Below are 22,008 nucleotides of genomic sequence, written 5' to 3' on the forward strand. Positions count from 1 at the left end.
AAAGCACCGCAACAGTATGCTCCATCTTTAGACATATCCAGACCAAAATGTGCACACGCAAAATGCCAAATACACACGCTTACCCTTTCAAGTAGGTCTTAGTTCTACCCCCAAACTCAAAAATTATTAAAGATTATACAAGTAATTCCTTTCGCTTACCTGTCAGCCATATTTCTCCACTTAAAAAGCAAATTACTTGCAGAATCACCGATGGGCAGGTGCAATCTCTCCTTAAAATATTTCACAATGCTTTGTTCCTCTAAAAGCACAGGAACTCGGTATGTGGAAGAAACATCATGGATACATATGACCTAAGTGGCGATGAGAAATCACCATACTTAGATGGATCTATTCAAATATGCCACCACAAGAATGAAACAAAATTCAGCAGAGACTGGCAGTTTATTTACACTGATATAACACACACACACGCACACACAAAAACCCAGCAACCAAAGCTAGCATCAGAATTTGCACAAGGTTAGCTTCATTTAATTAGAAAACTAATCCCAGCACTATGGGAGGCCGAGGCGGGCAGATCACCTGATGTCAGGAGTTCGAGACCAGCCTGACCAACATGGTGAAACCCCACCTGTATTAAAAATGCAAAAATTAGCTGGGCATGGTGACATGTGCCTATAATCCCAGCAACTCAAGAGGCTGACGCAGGAGAATCGCTGGAACCCAGGAGGCGGAGGTTGCAGTGAGTCGAGATCGCACCATTGCATACCAGCCTGGGTGACAGAGCAAGACTGTATCTCAAAAAAAAAAAAGAAGTGTACACAAAACGATTGGACAGGTCAGGTGTGGTGGCTCACGCCTGTAATTCCAGCACTTTTGGAGGCTGAGGCAGGCGGATCATCTGAGGTCAGGAGTTCAAGACCAGCCTGGCCAACATGGTGAAACCCCATCTCTACTAAAAATACAAAAATTAGCCAGGCATGGTGACACACACCTATAATCCCAGCTACTCAGGAGGCTGAGGCAGGAGAATCGCTTGAACCCAGGAGGCAGAGGTTGCACTGAGCCAAGAGTGCACCACTGCATTCCAGCCTGGGTGACAATAGTGAAACTCTGTCTCAAAAAAAAAAAAAGATTGGACGCAAACAAAATGGCATGACAACATATCAACATACAGATGCAGAAGTGTCCCTTCAATCTGCCATCACATTTTTCAAAGTAGTTCAGACTTCGGCAATGACTCTGAGGCATCAGGCAGGGGGCTCTCCATCAGACTATTTTCCAAGATGCCAAAATTCAATTTGATCATTTTTAGACTTCAGAGAACCCAGAGTTATAATCTGAAGAAAAGATTTCTGCCAAACCTCACCCTTTTCCTGAGCACCATTTATATCACTCTCTTTAAACTATAGGTAACTCCAATCCCTTATAACCAAGCCTTATTGGAATCAAGAGACAGAGATGAGAGAAGGAAAGAAAAAAGAAAAGCGAATTATCAGAATACCAAGGTGGAAAGCCCTACAGAGCAGAGAACCTAAGCCCAAATCACAGTACAGTTTCTGTACCAATGAAGTCAACTGAGCCCACTGATGGAGTCAGAAGAGCTAGTGCGAATGTCAACGTGCTCGTGTGTTTGGGGTGACTTAAGCTGCCACAGGTAGAGAGGAGAAATGAGTGAAAGCAGTAAGTGTTCCAGAAGGAAACACAAGATAAAGAGATGATAAGTAGGCTTCATGTGGTTCTCTCTCTAGAGGTTTGACTGTGAGTTAAACACCCACCCTGGTACTGGGCACGATGGCTCACGCCTGTAATCCCAGCACTATGGGAGGCTGAGGCGGGCGGATCATCTGAGGTCAGGAGTTCGAGACCAGCCTGGCCAACATGGCAAAACCCCATCTCTACTAAAAATACAAAAAAATTAGCCAGGCGTGGTGGCGCATGCCTATAATCTCAGCTGCTCAGGAGGCTAAAATAAGAGAATTGCTTGAACCCAGGAGGCAGAGGTTGCGGTGAGCTGAGATCATGCCACTGCACTCCAGCCTGGGTGACAGAGTGACACTCTGTCTCAAGAAAAGAAAGCCCACCCTGGTTTTGTGACATAAGTTGAGTGATCATGCAAAGAAACATGCATCCTATCTCACTTAAGGGCTAGGGAATCATGGTTGGATCAGGGTTCCCCAGTGCTTGCATAAATGCCGTGAAAAGTAATATGATCATTGAAGAGGTACAAAACACTGGCATCAGCAGAAGTGCCTGCCAGACAATAAAATCTAAAGAGCAGCACCAACCTGTTCAGGGTTCACGTGACAAAACATAGAAATCTTCTCCTTCACGGCCATCTCAATGGGCGTTGAACTTCGGCAGACAATCTGTCAAAGCCAGTTATGCTTCAGCAAACAGGATTCACTTTCAGCAGGATGCCACATTCATTTCTTTTTACAAGAAACTTGGCCAAGTATGTACTTGTTCACTTTGGACATTCCACTGGACTATTAGAAATTGGTCTGAGCACTAATATAAGTATAATCAAATTCAGCATAAGTGTATCAGTAAGAACTCGAAACATCGAGACGTCTCTGGTGAACAGAGTCCAGGCTCACAAGTGTTGCTTCATTAACTACAAGAAAAGAGCTAGATCGGGGTTAACAAACTTTTTCTCAAAAGGGCCAGATGGGAAATATTTTAGGTTTGCAGGTGACACAGTCACTGTCCTGATCCTCAATTGAGGTGCAGTGTGAAAGCAGCTACAGACAATATGTAAATGAATGGGTGTGACTGCATGCCAATAAAACTTTACTTACAAAAACAGGCAAGCAAGTTGTGGGCTGTTATTTGTCAACCTCTGACAGAGACTACTGGTGATGACTGGATCACCTGCTATAAGGACACATCACTGTTTAGACTAAAAATAAGAGCAGCGGACTGGGCGTGGTGCAATCCCAGCACTTTAGGAGGCCAAGGCAGGAGGATTGGTTGAACCCAGGAGTTCGAGACCAGCCTCAGTAACATAGCAAAACCCTGTCTCTACAAACACACACACACACACACACACACACCACACAAAAATTAGTGCGCTGTGGTAGCGTGCACCTCTAGTATCAGCTACTCAAGAGGCTGAGGTGGGAGAATCACTTCAGCCCAGGAGGCAGAGGTTGCAGTGAGCCAAGATCACACCACTGTACTCCAGCCTGGGCAACAGAGCCAGACCCCGTCTCAAAAAGAAAAAAAGAGCAGTGATAACCCATCACAGGGTTATCATTGATAGCAGGGTCACAGGAAAATCCCAAGGTTTCACCTTCATTCTAAAGAATCCAGGAATCATATAAATGACAGGACATCACACTTGCCCAACTATCAATGTGGCCCATCAAATGAGAGCCTAGGGAAGAACAGATTGAAGCAACACTTGAGGCTAAGGGAATAAGCCTTTTCCGGCTCCCAGATAGAAAAACCTCATTGTCACAGGAGCCGTTTGAGAATGAGAAAGGACTTAGATGATGATAAAGATAAAGAAGTGAAGGGCAGCCAGGCATGGTGGCTCTTGGCTGTAATCCCAAGCACTTTGGGAGGCTGAGGCGGGCGGATCACCTGAGGTCAGGAATTCAAGACCAGCCTAGCCAACATGACAAAACTCTGTCTCTACTAAAAATACCAAAATTATCCAGGTGTGGTGGCATGTGCCTGTAGTCCAGATACTCTGGAGGCTGAGACAGGAGAATCGCTTGAACCCAGGAGGCGGAGGTTGCAATGAGCCAAGACTGCACCACTGCACTCCAGCCTGGGTGACAGAGCAAGACTCCGTCTCAAATTAAAAAAAAAAAAAAAAAAGAAGTGAAGGTCCTGCTCCCAGAGACCTTCAGGATAGACTTACCCACTGTCCTCAACTCACCAGATCTGGAGACAGGCCTAAACCCCTCAGTGCGCGGACGCTGTTTTGGGTGGGTTTGGTTTTTTGTTCTCCGGTAGCACTGAGCTGAAAAAAAATGGGGTCCCGTCAGCACACTGGACACTAGCTCCTATGGATGATTAATGGTGCCCCACTTTCAAATGCAGGACACATAGAATATCATAGGAAAACTTATCAAAGTTGCTGTCCACATACTTATCTGGAAAGCCCACCTGTGGGACAAGGCTAACGTGGATATTACAGAAATTCTCTCTTTTCGCCTTAAACTGGAATTGTCTAAACGCCTCCACAAACGGCATTCCTTCGATGTCTCCAATGGTGCCTCCCAGCTGGGAATGGAAAACAAACAAAAAAAGACACAAATGACCACACATCTCCCACAGTACACAAGCTAATAAAAAGAGTTCTTAATAAACCGAGCATGAGAACTAAAGTTTGATGGTTACACAGAGGTTTATAAATACGTTCAAAATCACTAAATTGTGGCTGGGTATGGCGGCTCACACCTATGATCCCAGCGCTTTGGGAGGCCAAGGCAGGAGGATCACTTGAGCCCAGGAGGTCAAGGCTGCAGTGAGTCATGATCATCCCACTGCATTCCAGCCTAGATGACAGAGCGAGACCCTTTCTCTGAAAAAATATAAAAATAAAAAATAAAACTTCAAAAAAGATTTCTCCACGTGTATACTCTTCAGTAGCCCATTGCTTCATTAAAACTAACAATAAGGCCAGGCGCAGTGGCTCATGCTTGTAATCCCAGCACTTTGGGAGGCCGAGGCGGGCGGATCACAGGTCAGGAGATCGGGACCATCCTGGCCAACATGGTGAAACCCTGTCTCTACTAAAAATACAAAAATTAGCTGGACGTGGTGGGGCACACCTGTAGTCCCAGCTACTCGGGAGGCTGAGGCAGGAGAATCGCTTGAACCCAGGAGGCAGAGGTTGCAGTGAGTCGAGATCACACCGTTGCACTCCAGCCTGGGCGACAGAGCGAGACTCCATCTCAAAACAAAAACAAAAACAAAAAACTAGCATCAAATCTCCTTAATGCAGCCAACAAAAGGCTCTCAGGACCTGGCCCTTGCACTGAGTCTCCAATGCCATCTGGTCCCCTCCCCGCTGGCCTCTTGGGTACTCCATGCTCTTCCTTCCTGCTCCTTAAGCCCTCCTACCCTCCTTCTTCATCTACAGCAACCTCTTTATCCTCCAGTCCAAGAGAGATGCATCCTCCTTGGAGGGCGGACTCTGACCCTCCTTGGAGGGCAGACTCTGACCCCCCACCTAAAGCAGCCTATATCCCACTAGCCCTTGTCACAGCACTGTACCCATCCTAGGAATTCAGCACAAGTTGCCTCTATTTCATTTCCGTCTTTGTTTCCTGGCTCTCTACCCCACTAGACTGTAAGCCCCATGAGGGCATGAGCCCAGTACCCTGCATGCAGCACTGGAGGTTTAGTTTAGTAGTCGGGCCAGGACAGAAAGGTCCTGAAATTCAATATAAGCCCTAAGGAACAGTGTTCTAGTACCTGTTACCAAAATTACAGCAGAACCAAAGCCAGGGCTGGGTGCAGTGGCTCACACCTGTAATCCCAACACTTTGGGAGGCAGGTGTATCACTTGAGCACAGGAGTTTGAGACCAGCATGGGCAACAAAGTGAGACCTTGCCTCCACAAAAACATAAAAAATTAGCTGGGCATGGCGGCACGGCGCCTATGGTCCCAGCCACTCAGGAGGCTGAGGTGGGAGGATCGCTTGAGCCTGGAGAAGTCCAGGCTGCAGTGAGTCATGATCATACCACTGCACTCCAGCCTAGGGAACAGAGTAAGACACTGTCTCTTTAAAAAACAACAACAACAACAACAACAACTCAACGAAATGAAAACATCACATGCAATCAGGAACTTGGCAGGGGTGAAGTGAGTGTAAGTACCCACTAAATACAAGGCACCAAAATCTAATTTTTGAAAATCATTTATTTTTTCTAAGGAAAACCAGAGGTCTGCACTTAAACTAAACCGTGTGCTTCCATCTTGTGTTTTGATGGGGATTCTCTGGGGGGTCAATAATAGTGAATGCCAAAAGGAGGCCAACTTCAAACATTATCAGCTTCTGCCCTCACGTGGTCAGCAGCGGTACTACAGTCTCCCTGCTAATTCAGAAGTTCCCATTACCATACCTCTAGGTCACCCACATTATCGTGTTCAGAAACCTTCAATATTACTACTGGAATAGTTTGAAGTTAACTGTTGCCCCAGATAAAAGGGAAAATATCACCTATAACAATACTTTATGCTGAAATGGAAGCAGCAGCAAATTTATGAGATGTGCAAAGTTGTTTTTGCCTTTGTCTTTAATGAAAGTCTTTTTTCTTTTTCTTTTTTTATTTTTATTTATTTATTTATTTATTTTTGAGATGGAGTCTCGCTCTGTTGCCCAGGCTGGAGTGCAATGGCGCGATGTCGGCTCACTGCAAGCTCCGCCTCCTGGGTGCACGCCATTCTCCTGCCTCAGCCTCCTGAGTAGCTGGGACTATAGGCGCCCACCACCACGCCCGGCTAATTTTTTGTATTTTTAGTAGAGACGGGGTTTCACCGTGTTAGACAGGATGGCCTCGATCTCCTGACCTCGTGATCCACCCGCCTCAGCCTCCCAAAGTGCTGGGATTACAGGCGTGAGCCACCACACCCGGCCCTTTTTAAATTTTTTTTAAAGACAGAGTCTCGCTCTGCCACCCAGGCTGGAGTGCAGTAGTGAGATCATGGCTCACTGCGGCCTCAAACTCCTGGGTATAAATGATCCTCCTGCCTCAGCCTCCCAAGTAGCTGGGACTACAGACCTGCACCACCACACTTGGCTGAGTCTTCTTTTTTGGAAAATAAACAAGAAGAAAGAAAACTGTTATTCCTTTAAGACAAGCATAAATTATTTCAGGTTCATGCCAAGATAACTCGTACTAATATAAATAAAACCTGTCAGCTCCACTGGTATGAGAAGTTGAGGTCTCACTCATAAAAATGGCTTTGAAGACATTTCAACAGCTCCTCTATGATTAAAACTAAAAATCAGCTTTGGCAGTCCTTCTTCAAAAGCTTAAATGGTGCACAGACACAACTGTTGAACACAACTTACAATCAACCAAAGAGGATGGTTGACCACTAGTATCCAATAAGCAAATATAAACATCAGGGTTATAACGGAGAAGGGGTTCTGTTTGTCAGTTTCCCTGTTTCCATGAAATTTAAAATCCAGCCAATGAGCTCCTGGAGAGCAGGAGTCAGATCACACTCAACCTCACATCCTTAGCAGCTATCATCAGGGCTAGTACATATTAAGTGCTAAATTAATCATTGTGAAGACAAGTCAATTCAAGGGTAGAATAAGAAATAAAATTAAAAATTTGCCAGGCATAGTGGTGGTACACTGTAGTCCCAGCTACTTGGGAGGCTGAGGCAAGATGATTGGTTGAGCCCAGAAGTTTGAGGCTGCAGTGGGCTTTGATCGCACCTGTGGATAGCTACTGCACTCCAGCCCGAGGCAACATAGCGAGACCCTATCTATAAAAAATAAATAGCCAGTAACTTTATCAGTTCTACTATTAACAAAATGGATCTTCTACATATCATGATATCTGCTAACACTTACATTGATGACAATAATAATAGCTAACTTATGTTCACTGAGCACTTCCTAAATGCCAGACATTGCAAAGTGCTCTGATACATTGCATTTAATCCCCAATCCTGTTATTATCTTATTATTATAATATTATATTATTACATTATTACAAATGAGGACGTTGAAACTGTGAGAATTTTCCAAAAGTCATACAGGCATCTTAATAATAGCTAATAATTTTTAAGCACTTACTATATCTGTGACACCATTCTAAGCACTAAGTGTAGAGACTTATTTAATCTTCAAAACAATGAGTTACAAATGAGTTAAATGAGTTAAAGAGGCACAGAGAGGTTGAGCAAACTTGCCCAAGGTCACCCCCTCCTCCCCATAAGTGACCTTGCTAGGCTACAAACCCAGACAGTTTGCCTCCAGACTCTTAATCACTGAGCTATACGTGGCTCAGGGGTCACTGCAGAAATACAAACTGAGGCAGCCTGACTCTAAGAACCAAATTGGTCATTATTCTGCTCTTTCGCCCGGCAATTAAGCCAACTGACATTTAGAGGAGGAGGATATGGATGTTATTGTCATTCTGCACGTGGAGAGGAAGGGAACAAGGTGAAGGAAGTAAACAAGTGGCAAGTTCAAATACGACTTTTTTTTTTTTTTTTTTTTTTTTTTAAATTAAGACAGGGTCTGGCTCCATCACCCAGGCTGAAGTGCTGGTGCAATCACTGCTCTCTGCAGCCTCAACCTCCCGGGCTCAAAAGATCCTCCCATCTCACCTTCTCAAGTAGCTGGGACTACAGGTGCGTACCAACATGCCTAGCTAATCTTTGTAGTCTCTGTAGAGACGGGTTTTCGCCATGTTGCCCAGGCTGTCTCAAACTCATGGACTCAAGCAATCCTCCCACCCTGGCATCTGAAAATGCCGGAATTGCAGGCATGAGCCACCTCGCGCAGCCACTAGCTTCTTTCTTTAAACAGCTGATACTAATCACTTATCACCGCTACCATCTGACTTCCCTAACCCAGTGTCTCTTTACACTTCCAAAGCACTTCGGAAATACTTTTCAAATAGTATGCACTAGAATGCAGTCTGTTGTGTGTAGACAGGGTTGTCTGCAAGCTCCCCAAGGTCAGAGACTGTGCCCATCCCAGGCCCCGGCACAGAAGAGGCCCTCACATTGACTTTATCAGCAGCTGATCAGTCTCCACAAGCAGATCACTGCACGTCCACCCAGGAGTAGGTGTGATTGTCTGTCTAATGCCAATCTTGCCCACTCACTTGTGACCACAAAGACAGAAGCCATCTATGTTGTTTCTTGCTGTGACCCCACCTCCTAGCCCAGTGTCCAGCACTCAGGAGGGCGTGTGTAAGTATTTGTCAAATAAATGAAGATCAGATGCTCAAAGACCCAGCAGGATATAATTTTATAAAGAAAGTTCTATGCTTGCCTCAATAACGCATATTTGGGGCTCTTCCTTATTACCATCCACCGGCACCTTGGCTTGATTCATAACCCACTCCTGGACAGCATCAGTAATGTGAGGGACAACTGTAGAAAGAAGTATTAATACAAAAGTTTATTCCATGCTCATGAGAAAAGAATGTGCTTTAGGCCTCCCCAATCACCTGAAAGTCACCTGGCAAGTTACCCTGACATATTTTTGGAAAATGAAAAGAAAAAAACGCAACAATTTTAAAAGAATTAGAACTTGTAGAGCGCAGGGACTGTGACATTTTCAGTTCTACTTGGTTTTTTTGGCTTTGTTTTGTTTTTTTTTTTTAAGATGGAGTCTCACTCTGTCGCCCAGGCTGGAGTGCAGTGGCACGATCTCGGCTCACTGCAATCTCTGCCTCCTGGGTTCGAGCAATTCTCCTGCCTCAGCCTCCCGAATAGCTGGGATTACAGGCATGCGCCACCATGCCTGGCTAATTTTTGTATTTTTAGTAGAGATGGGGTTTCACCATGTTGGTCAGGCTGGTCTCGAACTCCTGACCTCAGGTGATCCACTGGCCTCAGCCTCCCAAAGTGCTGGGATTACAGGCCTGAGCCACCGTGCCCGGCCTTCAGTTCTACTTTTGAGCAGTACAAAGATATTCAGCACACAGGGCTCCATAATGTCTGTGGAATATAATACCTTGCACTGTTTTCCCCAGGTAATCACCACGCCTCTCTTTATTGATCACATGCTGATATATCTTCCCCGTGGTGATATTGTTGTCTTTATAAAGATTAATATCCAAAAATCTTTCATAATTTCCAAGGTCTAAATCAACTTCTCCACCATCATTTAAGACGAAGACTTCACCTAGGATTAAAAAGGCAATGGAAAAATCAAAACTTTGCTTCCAGTAGATTTTTCAAAGATGGACATATTTTTGTTAAAAAGCTGGTAAAAGATGTATTTGTAAGCCATATTCTATCACCATCTCCTTTTTGGTGGAGATATTAACAATTCAATTATATCCAAGAAAATGCATCAGAAAATTCTATTTATAATATTCTATTGTGGTTTTTTTTTAATCTACTGAAATTCTGTCTTCAAGATTTAGCTTTTCCAAACTCAACATATGCCACATAAAAAAGACATGAAAACAGAAATTTTAAAAACAAACAGCATTTTACTTCAAAGCATCAGTATCCTGGACTCTGGAACTGCGATAAGAAACTTTTACTTGATTCTCATCTTGATTAAAGCCATAATTAGACAGTAGATGACAAAGCAAGGCCACAGCTAACCCATAAGGCAACTTGGTGAAAGTGAGGGAAAAAGCCTGTGTGTGCCATAAGCTACGTGCACAATGCACTGTCATAAAAGACAGGTGCAGACTTCGTCACACGAGGAGCACCAACTTTAACTACTAGACACGTCTGTAGATCTCTATTGTCACTTCAGGGCATGGACTGAGAGTCGTATGTTTCTAAAGCCACCTTGTAAGAATTGAACCTTTCCCCTATTAAGGGAACTATCATTTATTCCTACTGTTAGATGTCCACAGGAAAAAAGGTTGATTAACTTACAAATTTAATCAGAAGCCTTTTATATCCTAATTTATTTATCCATTCTAAGGTACATAACTGTGGTCTAGAAAATTAATTTTAAGGAAAAAAGCAAATTGATATCACAATACTTTTTTTTTCAATTTTTTTTTTCAATGTTTTTTTTTGAGACAGAGTTTCGCTGTCAACCAGGCTGGAGTGCAGTGGCGTGATCTCAGCTCACTGCAACCTCCGCCTCCTGGATCCAAGCAATTCTCATGTCTCAGCTTCCCAAGTAGCTGGGATTACAGACATGTACTACCACGCCTGGCTAATCTTTGTATTACCATTATTATTATTATTATTATTTTGAGACAGGGTCTCACTCTATCGCCAGGCTGGAGTGCAGTGGTGCGATCTCGGCTCACTGCAACCTCTGACTCCCTGGTTCAAGCAATTCTCCTGCCTCAGCCTCCTGAGTAGCTGGGATTACAGGTGTGCACCACCACACCCAGCTAATTTTTTTGTATTTTTAGTACAGACAGGTTTTTACCATGTTGGCCAGGATGGTCTCCATCTCCTGACCTCGTGATCCACCTGCTTCAGCCTCCCAAAATGCTGCGATTACAGGCGTGAGCCACCGTGCCCGGCCTATTATTTTTTTAAATAGAGACAGAGTTTCGCCATGTTTGCCAGGCTGGGTAGGAGAATCGCTTGAACCTGGGAGGCGGAGGTTGCAGTGAGCCGAGGTCACACCACTGCACTCCAGCCTGGGCGACAGAGTGAGACTCTGTCTCAAAAAAAGAAAAAAAAAATCATTAAAAAAAAATCCAAAGAAAATTTGGTGTAACACATGGCATTAGTCAATGGTGCCACACAACAAACAACCCCAAAATCTCTGCAACTTACAAAACATTTATTTATTTCTCCCTCATGTTACATGGGGGCTATGAGTCACTTGTGAGTCTATTCTTTGTGTCTTCTCATTCCAGGACCCAGACTGAACGAGAAATCTCTGAAAACCAGGCTGTTCTCATGGTAGAGGGCAGAAGCACAAGACAGACTGAGCCAAACCACACAGATGCATTTGACATTTTCTGCTTCAACAAGGCATATGTTAATATTCCCTAACATCCCATAGGACAAAATAAATCACATGGCCAAATAGAGTGACCAACCTGCTTGGTTTGCCCAGGACTAAGAGGGCTCCCAGGACACAGGACTTTCTGTTTTAAAATCAGGAACATTCCAAACAAACCAGGACAAGTTAACTATCCTACGTGGCCAAACTCCAAGGTCAAAGGGCAGGGAAATGTACTCCACAGAGGGATGGTGGGTAACATTTTGAAGCAAAAATACAATCTACCACAGACTTGAATAAGTCATTCACAAACAAAATCAAAATCAAAGAACTCTAAATTAAAACAATAAGATACCCTCTTTTTGTTTGTTTTATTCTCAGGTTAGTAAAGTTTAAAACACGATATTCAAGGCCTGGTGCAGTGGCTCATGCCTGTTGCAGTGGCTCATGCCTGTAATACCACCACTTTGGGAGGCCGAGGTAGGAGGATTGCTTGAGCCCAGGAGGTCGAGACCAGCCTAAGTAACATGGCGAAATCCCAGCTCTATAAAAAAATTACATAAATTAGCCAGGTGTGGTGGTGCACACCTGTAATCCCAGCTACCCAGGGGACTGAAGCAGGAGGATCACTTGAGCACAGGAGGTGGAGGTTGCATTGAGCCGAGATCTTGGCCACTGCACTCCAGCCTGGGCGATAGAGTGAGACCCTGTCTCAAAAAACAAAAACAGGAAGACAGGATAGCAACAAGGGACACAAACATTTTTTTTTTTTTTGAGATGGAGTCTCACTCTGTCACCCAGGCTGGAGTGCAGTGGCGCAATCTCGGCTCACTGCAAGTTCGCCTCCTGGGTTCACGCCATTCTCCCACCTTAGCCTCCCGAGTAGCTGGGACTACAGGCGCTCGCCACCGCGCCCGGCTAATTTTTGTATTTTTAGTAGAGACGGGGTTTCACCGTGTTAGCCAGGACGGTCTCGATCTCCTGACCTCGTGATCCGCCCGCCTCAGCCTCCCAAAGTGCTAGGATTACAGGCGTGAGCCACCACGCCCGGCAGGACATGAACATTTCTGTTTCTTGATCAGGGGCTGGTTACACAGTGTGTTCATTTAATGAAAATTCATCCAACTGTACACTTATGATTTATGCACTTTTTTGCTTGTATATAAAAAGGTTTTTTTGGGGGTTGGTTTTTTGTTGTTTTTGTTTGTTTGTTTGTTTGTTTGTTTTGAGACAGAGTCTCGCTCTGTCGCCCAGGCTGGAGTGCAATGGCTCGATCTTGGCTCACTGCAACCTCCGCCTGCCAGGTTCAAGTGATTCTCCTGTCTCAGCCTCCTGAGTAGATGGGACTACAGACACGTGCCACCACGCCCAGCTAATGTTTTGTATTTTTAGTAGAGACAGGGTTTCACTGTGTTAGCCAGGATGGTCTCGATCTTCTGACCTCGTGATCCACCTGCCTCGGCCTCCCAAAGTGCTGGGATTACAGGCATGAGCCACCGCACTGGGCCTTATAAAAAGTTTTTTAAAAATAGCATGTAAGGGCTAATGCCATTTTAAAAATAAATCAAATATACTCATACATCAAAATGTCACCATTAATAATAGTTACTCCAGGCAGTGGGAAATGTTAAGAGAAACACACTACCTTTATGTTAAAAATAAAACAGAATCTGTAGTGCAAAAGATACAATGTTTCCAAAAGGGATGATTAATTTGGAATGTCATCAGAGGTATGAACAATGTATCAATGACCATGAGAAAATTCACATATTCATAGCATACGATCTAGTCACTCTAAATCTGGAACTACATCCTAAAGAAATTACCCAAAATGGAAGAAAGAATGCAGTTGAGCCTAGTGCTATAAGGGGGAAGTGGTTCACTTTCGTACCGTGTTCATAAGGTGAAAAAGTGCCAGCATCGATGTTAATATAGGGGTCGATTTTTATGGCAGTAACTCGGAGTCCACATGATTTTAGAATCGTTCCAATGCTGCTGGCAATGATCCCTTTACCAATGCCTGAGATGACCCCACCCGTGACCAGGATGTACTTCATTGGCAGAATAGTGGCTGGGTGCCAACACCCAGATATAATCTGAAAGGCAATAAAATTATGGATAAGGAAAGAGAAATATTTAAAACTAGTAAAGCAGACAGTGTATTCAACCAGAATTAATTTTTTTTTTTTTTTTTTTTAGACATAGTCTTACTGTCACCCAGGCTGGAATGCAGTGAGTGGTGCAATCATGGCTCACTGTAACCTCTGCTCGCTGGGTTCAAGCGATCCTCCCACCTCAGCATCCTAGTAACTGGGACTATAGGTGAGCACCACCACGCCCTGCTAATTTTTGTGGGTTTTTTGTAGAGACGGAGTTTCACCATGTTGCCCACGCTGGTCTCCAACTCCTGAGCTCAAGCAATCCACCTGCCTCAGCCTCCCAAAGTGCTGGGATAACAGGCATGAGCCACCGCACCTAGCTCAGAATTTTTTTTTTTTTTTAAGAGACAGTGTCTCCCTATGTCACCCAGGCTGGAGTGCAGTGGCATGTTCATAGCTCACTGCAACCTTGAACTTCTGGGCTCAAGCAATCCTCTTGCCTCAGGCTCCAGAGTGGCTGGGACTACAGGCACGTGCCACGTCTCCCAGCTAATTCTTAAAACATTTTTGTAAAGACAGGTTCTTACTATGATGCCCTGGCTGGTCTCAAACTCCTGGGCTCAAGCAATCCTCTTGCCTTGGCCTCCCAAGATGCTGATTACAAAAGTGAGCCACCATGCTTCGTCTCACCAAAATTTCAAAAGCACACAGCAGTTTTCTGTCCAAACTAAATACTTGAATTTTTTGAAACAAAGTCTTATCTTCTAGGCTTTTTATTGTTGTCACTATACAGAAAGCTGTAGATACCTTCTGCAAGCAAAGTGCCTAGGTCTGTTGCCCTGGGTTTCCAAAGACCTCAACTCTATCATGCAACAAACTTCATCATGATAAACCAAATTTCTCTAGGATTCACAGGCATGCTAAAATGTTTAAGAGCTCAGACTCCAGTGTCAGACTGATCTGTACAAACTGTACCTGGGCAAGTTCTTTTTTTTTTTTTTTTCTTTTTTTTTAGACAGGGTCTCACTCTGTTGCCCAGGCTGGAGTATAGTGACACAATCTCGGCTCATTGCAACCTCCACCTCCCCGGTCCAAATGATTCTCATGCCTCAGCCTCCCAAGTAGCTGGGATTACGGGCATGCACCACCATGCTGGGCTAAGTTTTGTATTTTTAGTAGAGATGGGATTTCACCATGTTGGCCAGGCTGGTCTCGAACTCCTGGTCTCAAGTGACCACCCACCTCGGCCTCCCCAAGTGCTGGGATCACAGGCGTGAGCTACCACGCCCGGCCTTGGGCAAGTTATTTATCCTTTCTGTGCCTATTCCTTCATCTGTAAAGTGGAAAATATACAACAATCTCTAGGAATATAATTTGGTGTTAAAAAAAAATGGGCTACCAAGCCATGAAAAAACATGGAGGAATCTCAAGTGCATATTACCAAGTGAAAGAAGCCAATCTGAAAAACATACATACTGTATGACTTCAACTATATGACATTTTAGAAAAAGCAAAACTAGAGAGATAGTAAAAAGATCAGTGGTTGTCAGCGGGTAGGAGGGAGAGAGGGATGAATAGTCACAATACAAAGGAATTTTAGGGCAGTGAAACTATTCTGTATAATACTGTAATGATGGATACATGTCATTACACATTTATCCAAACCCACAGAATGGACAACAGGAAGAGCGAACCCTGATGTAAATAAACTACAGACTTTCCGCCGGGCACGGTGGCTCACACCTGTAATCCCAGCACTTTGGGAGGCTGAGGCGGGCAGATCACCTGAGGTCGGGAGGTCAAGACCAGCCTGACCAACATGGAGAAACCCCGTCTCTACTAAAAATACAAAATTAGCCAGGTGTGGTGGTGCATGCCTGTAATCTCAGCTACTCCGAAGGCTGAGGAAGAGAGAATCGCTTGAACCTGGGAGGCAGAGGTTGCAGTGAGCCGAGATCAGGCCATTGCACTCCAGCCTGGGCAATGAGAGCGAAACTCCGTCTCAAAAAAACAAAACAAAAACCTATGATCTTTAGGCAAAAATGATGCGTCAATGTAGGTTCACTGATTATAACAAATGTACCACTCTGCAGGTGCAGGATGTTAATAGTCAGGGAGGCTGGGCATAGCAGTGGGGGAGAGGGTGTATGGGAACTCTGTACTTTCCACTGAGTTTTGCTGTGAGCCTAAAATTACTCTAAAAAAAAAAGTCTTGCCAGGTGCAGTGGCTCACTGCACTCCAGCCTGGGCAACAGAGCGAGACTCTGTCTCAAAAAAATAAAAAATAAAAACTGTTTTTAAATAAGCAATATTAAAATAATTACAACTCATCTAGCTCACAGATGCTGACTGACTGAGTCCTGTTACACCAGTCAAAACTACAGCTTTTATTGGACAAGAGACTGATTTGAGTAACTTTCTCCTGATAAGACCACCAACCATGGACTGGCTCTGGCCAGTTTACAGAGGCTGTGGACTTGCGTGCCTTCATGTCCTGGAAAGATCTTTTGATGCATAGGGCTTAACTGAAATTCATTTAAATGTTAAGTCTCCATCCCCAAAGTGAACAGGGGTCATATGCTATTTTCATGTTTATTCAATACACATGAGTCAGGACCACCTTCATGAATATTCATAGCTCCTCCTGTAACCTGTTGAATATGTATATTTAGCCAACCCATTCAGCATAAAACTGAACCCTCCTTCAGAGTGCCTGCCTCTGGTTTTGGGAGGCCAAGGTAGGAGGGTCACTTGAGGCCAGAAGTTTGAGAACAGCCTGGGCAACATAGCGAGACCCTGTCTCTTTAAAACGTGTGCTTCCCAGCCTGTGGGATGGCCCCTTTGCAGGCTGTTACAGCCTGCAAAGAAATAAAGTAAACCAGGCGTGGTGGCTCACCCCTGTAATCCCAGCACTTTGGGAGGCCGAGGCAGGTGGATCACGAGGTCAGGAGTTAGAGACCAGCCTCACCAACATGGTGAAACCCTGTCTCTACTAAAAATACAAAAATTAGCTGGGTGTGGTGGTGCACACCTGTAATCCTGGCTACTAGGGAGGCTGAGGCAGGAGAATGGCTTGAACCCAGGAGGCGGAAGTTGCAGTGAGCCGAGATTGTGCCACTGCACTCCAGCCTGGGTGACAGAGCAAGACTCTGCCTCAAAAAAAAAAAAAGAAAGAAAGAAAAGAAAAGAAATAAAGTCACCAGGCACAGTGGCTCACGCCTATAATCCCAGCACTTTGGGCAGCCAATGCAGGCAGATCACTTAAGATCAGGAGTTCGAGACCAGCCTGGCCAACATGGTGAAACCCTGTCTCTACTAAAAATAAAAAATTAGCCAGGTGTGGTGGCAGGCACCTGTAATCCCAGCTACTTGCGGGGCTGAAGCACGAGAATCACTTGAACCTGGGAGGCAGAGGTTGCAGTGAGCCCAGATCGTGCCACTGCACTCCGGTCTGGGCAACAGAGTGAGACTCCGACTCGAAAGGTAAGAAAAATTTTGGCCAGGTGCAATGGCTCATGCCTGTAATCCCAGCACTTTGGAAGGCTGAGGCAGGCGGAACACCTGAGGTCAGGAGTTTGAGACCAGCCTGGCCAACATGATGAAACCCTGTCTCTACTAAAAAATACAAAAGTTAGGCTGGGCATAGTGGCTCACACCTGTAATCCCAGCACTTTGGGAGGCCAAGGCGGGTGGATCACCTGAGGTCAGCAGTTTAAGACCAGCCTGGCGAACATGGTGAAATCCCATCTCTACTAAAAATACAAAAATTAGCCGGGCGTGGTTGTGGGCACTTGTAATCCCAGGTACTCAGGAGGCTCAGGCAGGATAATTGCTTGAACCTGGGTGGAGGAGGTTGCAGTGAGCTGAGATCGCACCATTGCACTCCAGTCTGGGTGACAAGAGCGAAACTCTGTCTCAAAAAAAAAACAAACAAACAAACAAACAAAAATTAGCCGAGCATGGTAGTATGCGCCTGTAATCCCAGCTACTCGGGAGGCTGAGGCAGGAGAATCACTTGAACCTGGGAGGCGGAGGTTGCAGTGAGCTGAGATCACGCCACTGCACTCCAGCCTGGGCAACAGAGTGAGACTCTGTCTCAAAAAAAAAAAAAGAAAAGAAAATGTTTTAAAAAAGAAAGTCTCCTTTCTAAATTTATAGATCTTGTGATTTTTAAGTTGACAGTCATAAGGAAAATTTATTTGACTTTTCTGCTGCTTTCTGATTCAAACCCTTTTGTTTTATAGGAAGCCCAATAACTTGATTTTCTTTACTTTGAGTACTATTGTTTTTCCCTTGAGTGTGTACAGGGGCCTTCTGCTCTTGTAATTTCACCATGTATGTGAAAGTAGACCATAAACAGTATTATTTGTGTACTCATGGCAGGCAAATGGGCAACTGAGTAAGACCACAATATAAAATTACAGTTACAGAAAAAGAAAAATAATGCCAGGCATGGTGGCTCACATCTGTAATCCCAACACTTTGGAAGGCTGAGGTGGGAGGATCTCTTGAGGTCAGAAGTTCGACACCAACCTGGTCAACATAGTGAGACTCCCTCTCTACAAAAGAAAAATAAAACATTAGCCAGGTGTGGTGGCACACACCTGTAGTCCCAGCTACTGGGGAGGCTGAGGCAGGAGGATTGCTTGAGCCCAGGAGGTCAAGGCTGCAGTTAGCCAAGTGATTGTGCCACTGCACTCCAGCCTGGGTGACAAAGCAAGATCCTGTCTCAAAAATAAAAAGAGAGACCAGGTGCGGTGGCTCATGCCTGTAATCTCAGCACTTTGGGAGGCCAAGGCGGGCGGATCACCTGAGGTCAGGAGTTCAAGACCATCCTGGTCAGCGTGGCGAAACAATGTCTCTACTAAAAATATAAAAAGTAGCCGGGCGTGGTGGCGTGTGCCTGTGGTCCCAGCTACATGAGCTGCATGGGAGGCTGAGGCAGGAGAATCACTTGAAGCCGGGAGGCGGAGGTTGCAGTGAGCTGAGATCACACCACTGCATTCCAGCCTGGACAATAGGGTGAGACTCGGTACCAAAAAAGAAAAAATAAAAAGAGAGAGAGAGAGAGACAGTAACTAACAAAAGGTAATAACTATAAATTTCACTTTCATTTGTAATTTCACAATTTTTTTACATACTTGGAAATTCAGCACAAATGCATTCGGGTAGGAACAATTTCAGTTACCCACTTCTTATTTGTCCTCCTCAAAGGAATGCCCATTCTGATTTTGTGGTTTCCTCTGCTTACCTTTCAAAACAAACTATCTTAACTAAAGTTATCACACGTCAGAGCTGTGAATTCCATTTGAACTAGCTGACCATGGTCAGGCTGAGTAAACTGAAGCTATTCAAAATATACATGTTCCATCCCAGATGGCCTCCCTAAGTCCCTGGGCCTACCTTTCTCTACACAACACAGTTGATCACATTCAATGCCATCGCACATCTTCACTAGTCACCAGGGCACCCACCTATCTGACCTATGTTTATAGCTTAAAACATTGTCAATCCAAACCCAGAGCCAAGATCACACCATTGCACTCCAGTCTGGACAACAGAGTGAGACTCCGTCTGAAATAAATAAATAAATAAATTATATATATACATATATTACATATATAATGTTTATTTGAACATCTATTACATGCTTGACATATTTCCAAGTCCTAGGAATATGGAGATAAACAAAAAGACAAGGTCTATGTTCCACTGGACTTCACCTTTCCTGCAGGATTAAGGGGCAAATAAACTGTGCTTTAATTATACCTTATTCTGGCACTGTTATACTGTTCAAATGACTCTCTTTGTAAAAGTTACCGAAATGGAAAAATGCCGTAGAGGTATGGTGAAGAAAACTGGCATACATTCGTACAAGTCACATTATGCCTAATAAATTTTTGTATAAGAAAATGCTTCTTTGGGAGGCTGAGGCAGGCGGATCACCTGAGGTCAGGAGTTCGAGACCAGCCTGGCCAACATGGTGAAACCCTGTCTCTACTAAAAATACAAAAATTAGCCAGGCGTGGTGGCAGGCGCCTGTAATCCCAGCTACTTGGGAGGCTGAGGCAGGAGAATCGCTTGAACCCGGGAGGCAGAGGTTGTAGTGAACCCAGATAGCACCATTGCACTCCAGCCTGGGGGACAAGAGCGAGACTTCGTCTCAAAAAAAAAAGTTAAAAAAAAAGAAAATGCTTATGTGGCCGGGCACGGTGGCTCACGCCTGTAATCCCAGCACTTTGGGAGGCCAAGACGGGCGGATTGCCTGAGCTCAGGAGTTCGAGACCAGCCTGGGCAACATGGGGAAACCCCATCTCTACTAAAATACAAAAAATCAGCCAGGTGTGGTGGCGTGCACCTGTAATCCCGGCTACTCAGGAGGCTGAGGCACGAGAATTGCTTGAACCTGGGAGGTGGAGGTTGCAGTGAGCCAAGATTGTGCCAGTGCCCTCCAACCTGGGCAACAAAGTAAAACCGTGTCTCAAAAAAAAAAAAAAAGGAAGAAAGAAAATGCTTATGTTACCTGAAAAAGAGAGCAGACTATAAAATTGAATATATTATTGACTATGTTTTTTTAAACTAAGATCTAAATTTTATTTGTCACCACTAAGATTTCCATCTTATGGCCGGGTGCAATGGCTCACGCCTGTAATCCCAACACTTTGGGAGGCCAAGGCGGGCGGATCACAAGGTCAAGAAATCAAGACCATCCTGGCCAACATGGTTAAACCTTGTCTCTACTAAAAATACAAAAATTAGCCAGGCGTGGTGGCACCCACCTGTAGTCTCAGGTACTCGGGAGGCTGAGGCAGGAGAATCACTTGAACCCAGGAGGTGAAGGTTGCAATGAGCCAAGATCGTGCCATTGCACTCTACCCTGGTGACAGAGTGAGACTCTGTCTCCAAAAAAAAAAAAAAAAAAAAAAAAACAGATTTCTATCTTAATTTGGTCAAAGATACACCATGTTATGTCTTAATATATTTAGGTGATTAGGTTGTATGTGTTGGGGCTCAGAAAACAAAACCCAAAAATGAAGGCCTCAGAAGCAAAGTTTCTCTCTGACCTTCTCCTGCCCTCCTGTCTCTCACCCCTCATACTCCCCCAAGGCAAGTCATAGAAACTAGAACCCTTTTCCCCCCAAAGCCAGCCATAAAGCCAAAAAATATGACTCTAACCTTCCTCTCAACCACCTTTCTATACAACAGCTGGCCATAAAGAAATTAAGACCCTCATTCCAAAGAGGTCCTACCCCATACTGGGGAGGAAGAAACGCTACAACAGAGAGGCCAAGAAGAATGTGGACAGGCTTTGCTGGGTTTCCCCACTCAGTCTATTTCCATTAGCTCATCTGTCCCTGCTTCATGGACTCCAAGCATAAAATCAGATCATTTCCCTTGCATCTTTAAGGGGTTTTCATTTCTGAAGGCTCCCATGTCACATAAACCTATGATTCAATAAATTATTATGCTTCTCTCTTGTTAATCTGTCTCTTGTTTAAGGCTGTCAGCCGTGACCCTTATGATATCAGCTCTTTCCTCCCCTACATAAGCAATTGCTCATTTTCTGTTTTTTCAAAAACACAAGATACCTTTTTAAAGCACCTTGGATATTTTAGAGACCTTTTGTAAAAATGCAACTTAATACCAAGGGGACACCTAATTCTTCCTACTTTGTTGTTGTTGTTGTTGTTTTGAGTTGGAGTCGCGCTCTGTCACCAGGCTGGAGTGCAATGACACGATCTGGGCTCACTGCAACCTCCGCCTCCCGGGTTCAAGCAATTCTCCTGCCTCAGCCTCCCAAGTAGCTGGGACTACAGGTGCATGCCACCATTCCCAGCTAATTTTTGTATCTTTAGTAGAGACAGGGTTTCACCATGTTGTCCAGGATGGTCTTGATCTCTTGACCTCGTGATCCGCCCACCTCGGCCTCCCAAAGTGCTGGGATTACAGGCATGAGCCACCATGCCCGGCCCTCTACTTCTTTTAAGCACACAAGTAAGTTTAACAAAGTTTCAAAGGTTCAGGGAAAGGCTGGCCCTGTTTTAGATCACTTCCTCCATTGAGGATTGTTTCTGGTGTCAAGACAAGTTTTTCATTTACTCTTACATGCAGTGAGCAGAACCAAGTGTTTATAGGATAGCACAGTGTAGAGCTGTGCTGTCTCCACTACCTAATAAAAAATATTACACAGCCAGGTACGTAATTTTAAGTTTCTAGTAGCCATATTAAAAAAGTAAAAAGAATCAAATGAAGTTCATGTTAATATATGTTATTTAACCCAATGTAGCCAAAAATGTTATCACTTTTAACGCACAATGTAAGAATGTATTAGTGAGATATTTGACATCTTTTTT

At 44.5% G+C, this 22,008-nt stretch overlaps 1 protein-coding gene across 10 annotated transcripts in view; it reads right to left on the reverse strand.

Annotated features, from left to right (window-relative positions):
- Window positions 1–22,008, reverse strand: part of CTPS2 (CTP synthase 2) — a 124,912-nt gene that overhangs the window by 101,292 nt on the left and 1,612 nt on the right. For 5 of the 10 annotated variants that reach the window (NM_019857.5, XM_047442261.1, XM_024452408.2 and 2 more), the window contains 7 exons: window positions 13,447–13,651; window positions 9,633–9,803; window positions 8,946–9,046; window positions 4,081–4,197; window positions 3,851–3,934; window positions 2,250–2,330; window positions 160–311 (listed from right to left, as the gene is read on the reverse strand). In NM_019857.5, the coding sequence (NP_062831.3) occupies window positions 160–311; window positions 2,250–2,330; window positions 3,851–3,934; window positions 4,081–4,197; window positions 8,946–9,046; window positions 9,633–9,803; window positions 13,447–13,612 (872 nt within the window). In that variant the 5' untranslated portion in view covers window positions 13,613–13,651. Of the gene's footprint in view, window positions 1–159; window positions 312–2,249; window positions 2,331–3,850; window positions 3,935–4,080; window positions 4,198–8,945; window positions 9,047–9,632; window positions 9,804–13,446; window positions 13,652–18,118; window positions 18,208–19,128; window positions 19,229–20,433; window positions 20,551–22,008 lie in introns of those variants that run through there. The other 5 variants (XM_006724503.4, XM_047442260.1, XM_011545545.3 and 2 more) reach the window with 3 other exon arrangements.

Source organism: Homo sapiens, chromosome X (genome assembly GCF_000001405.40).
Source record: "Homo sapiens chromosome X, GRCh38.p14 Primary Assembly".
Classification (NCBI taxonomy): Eukaryota; Metazoa; Chordata; class Mammalia; order Primates; family Hominidae; genus Homo; species Homo sapiens.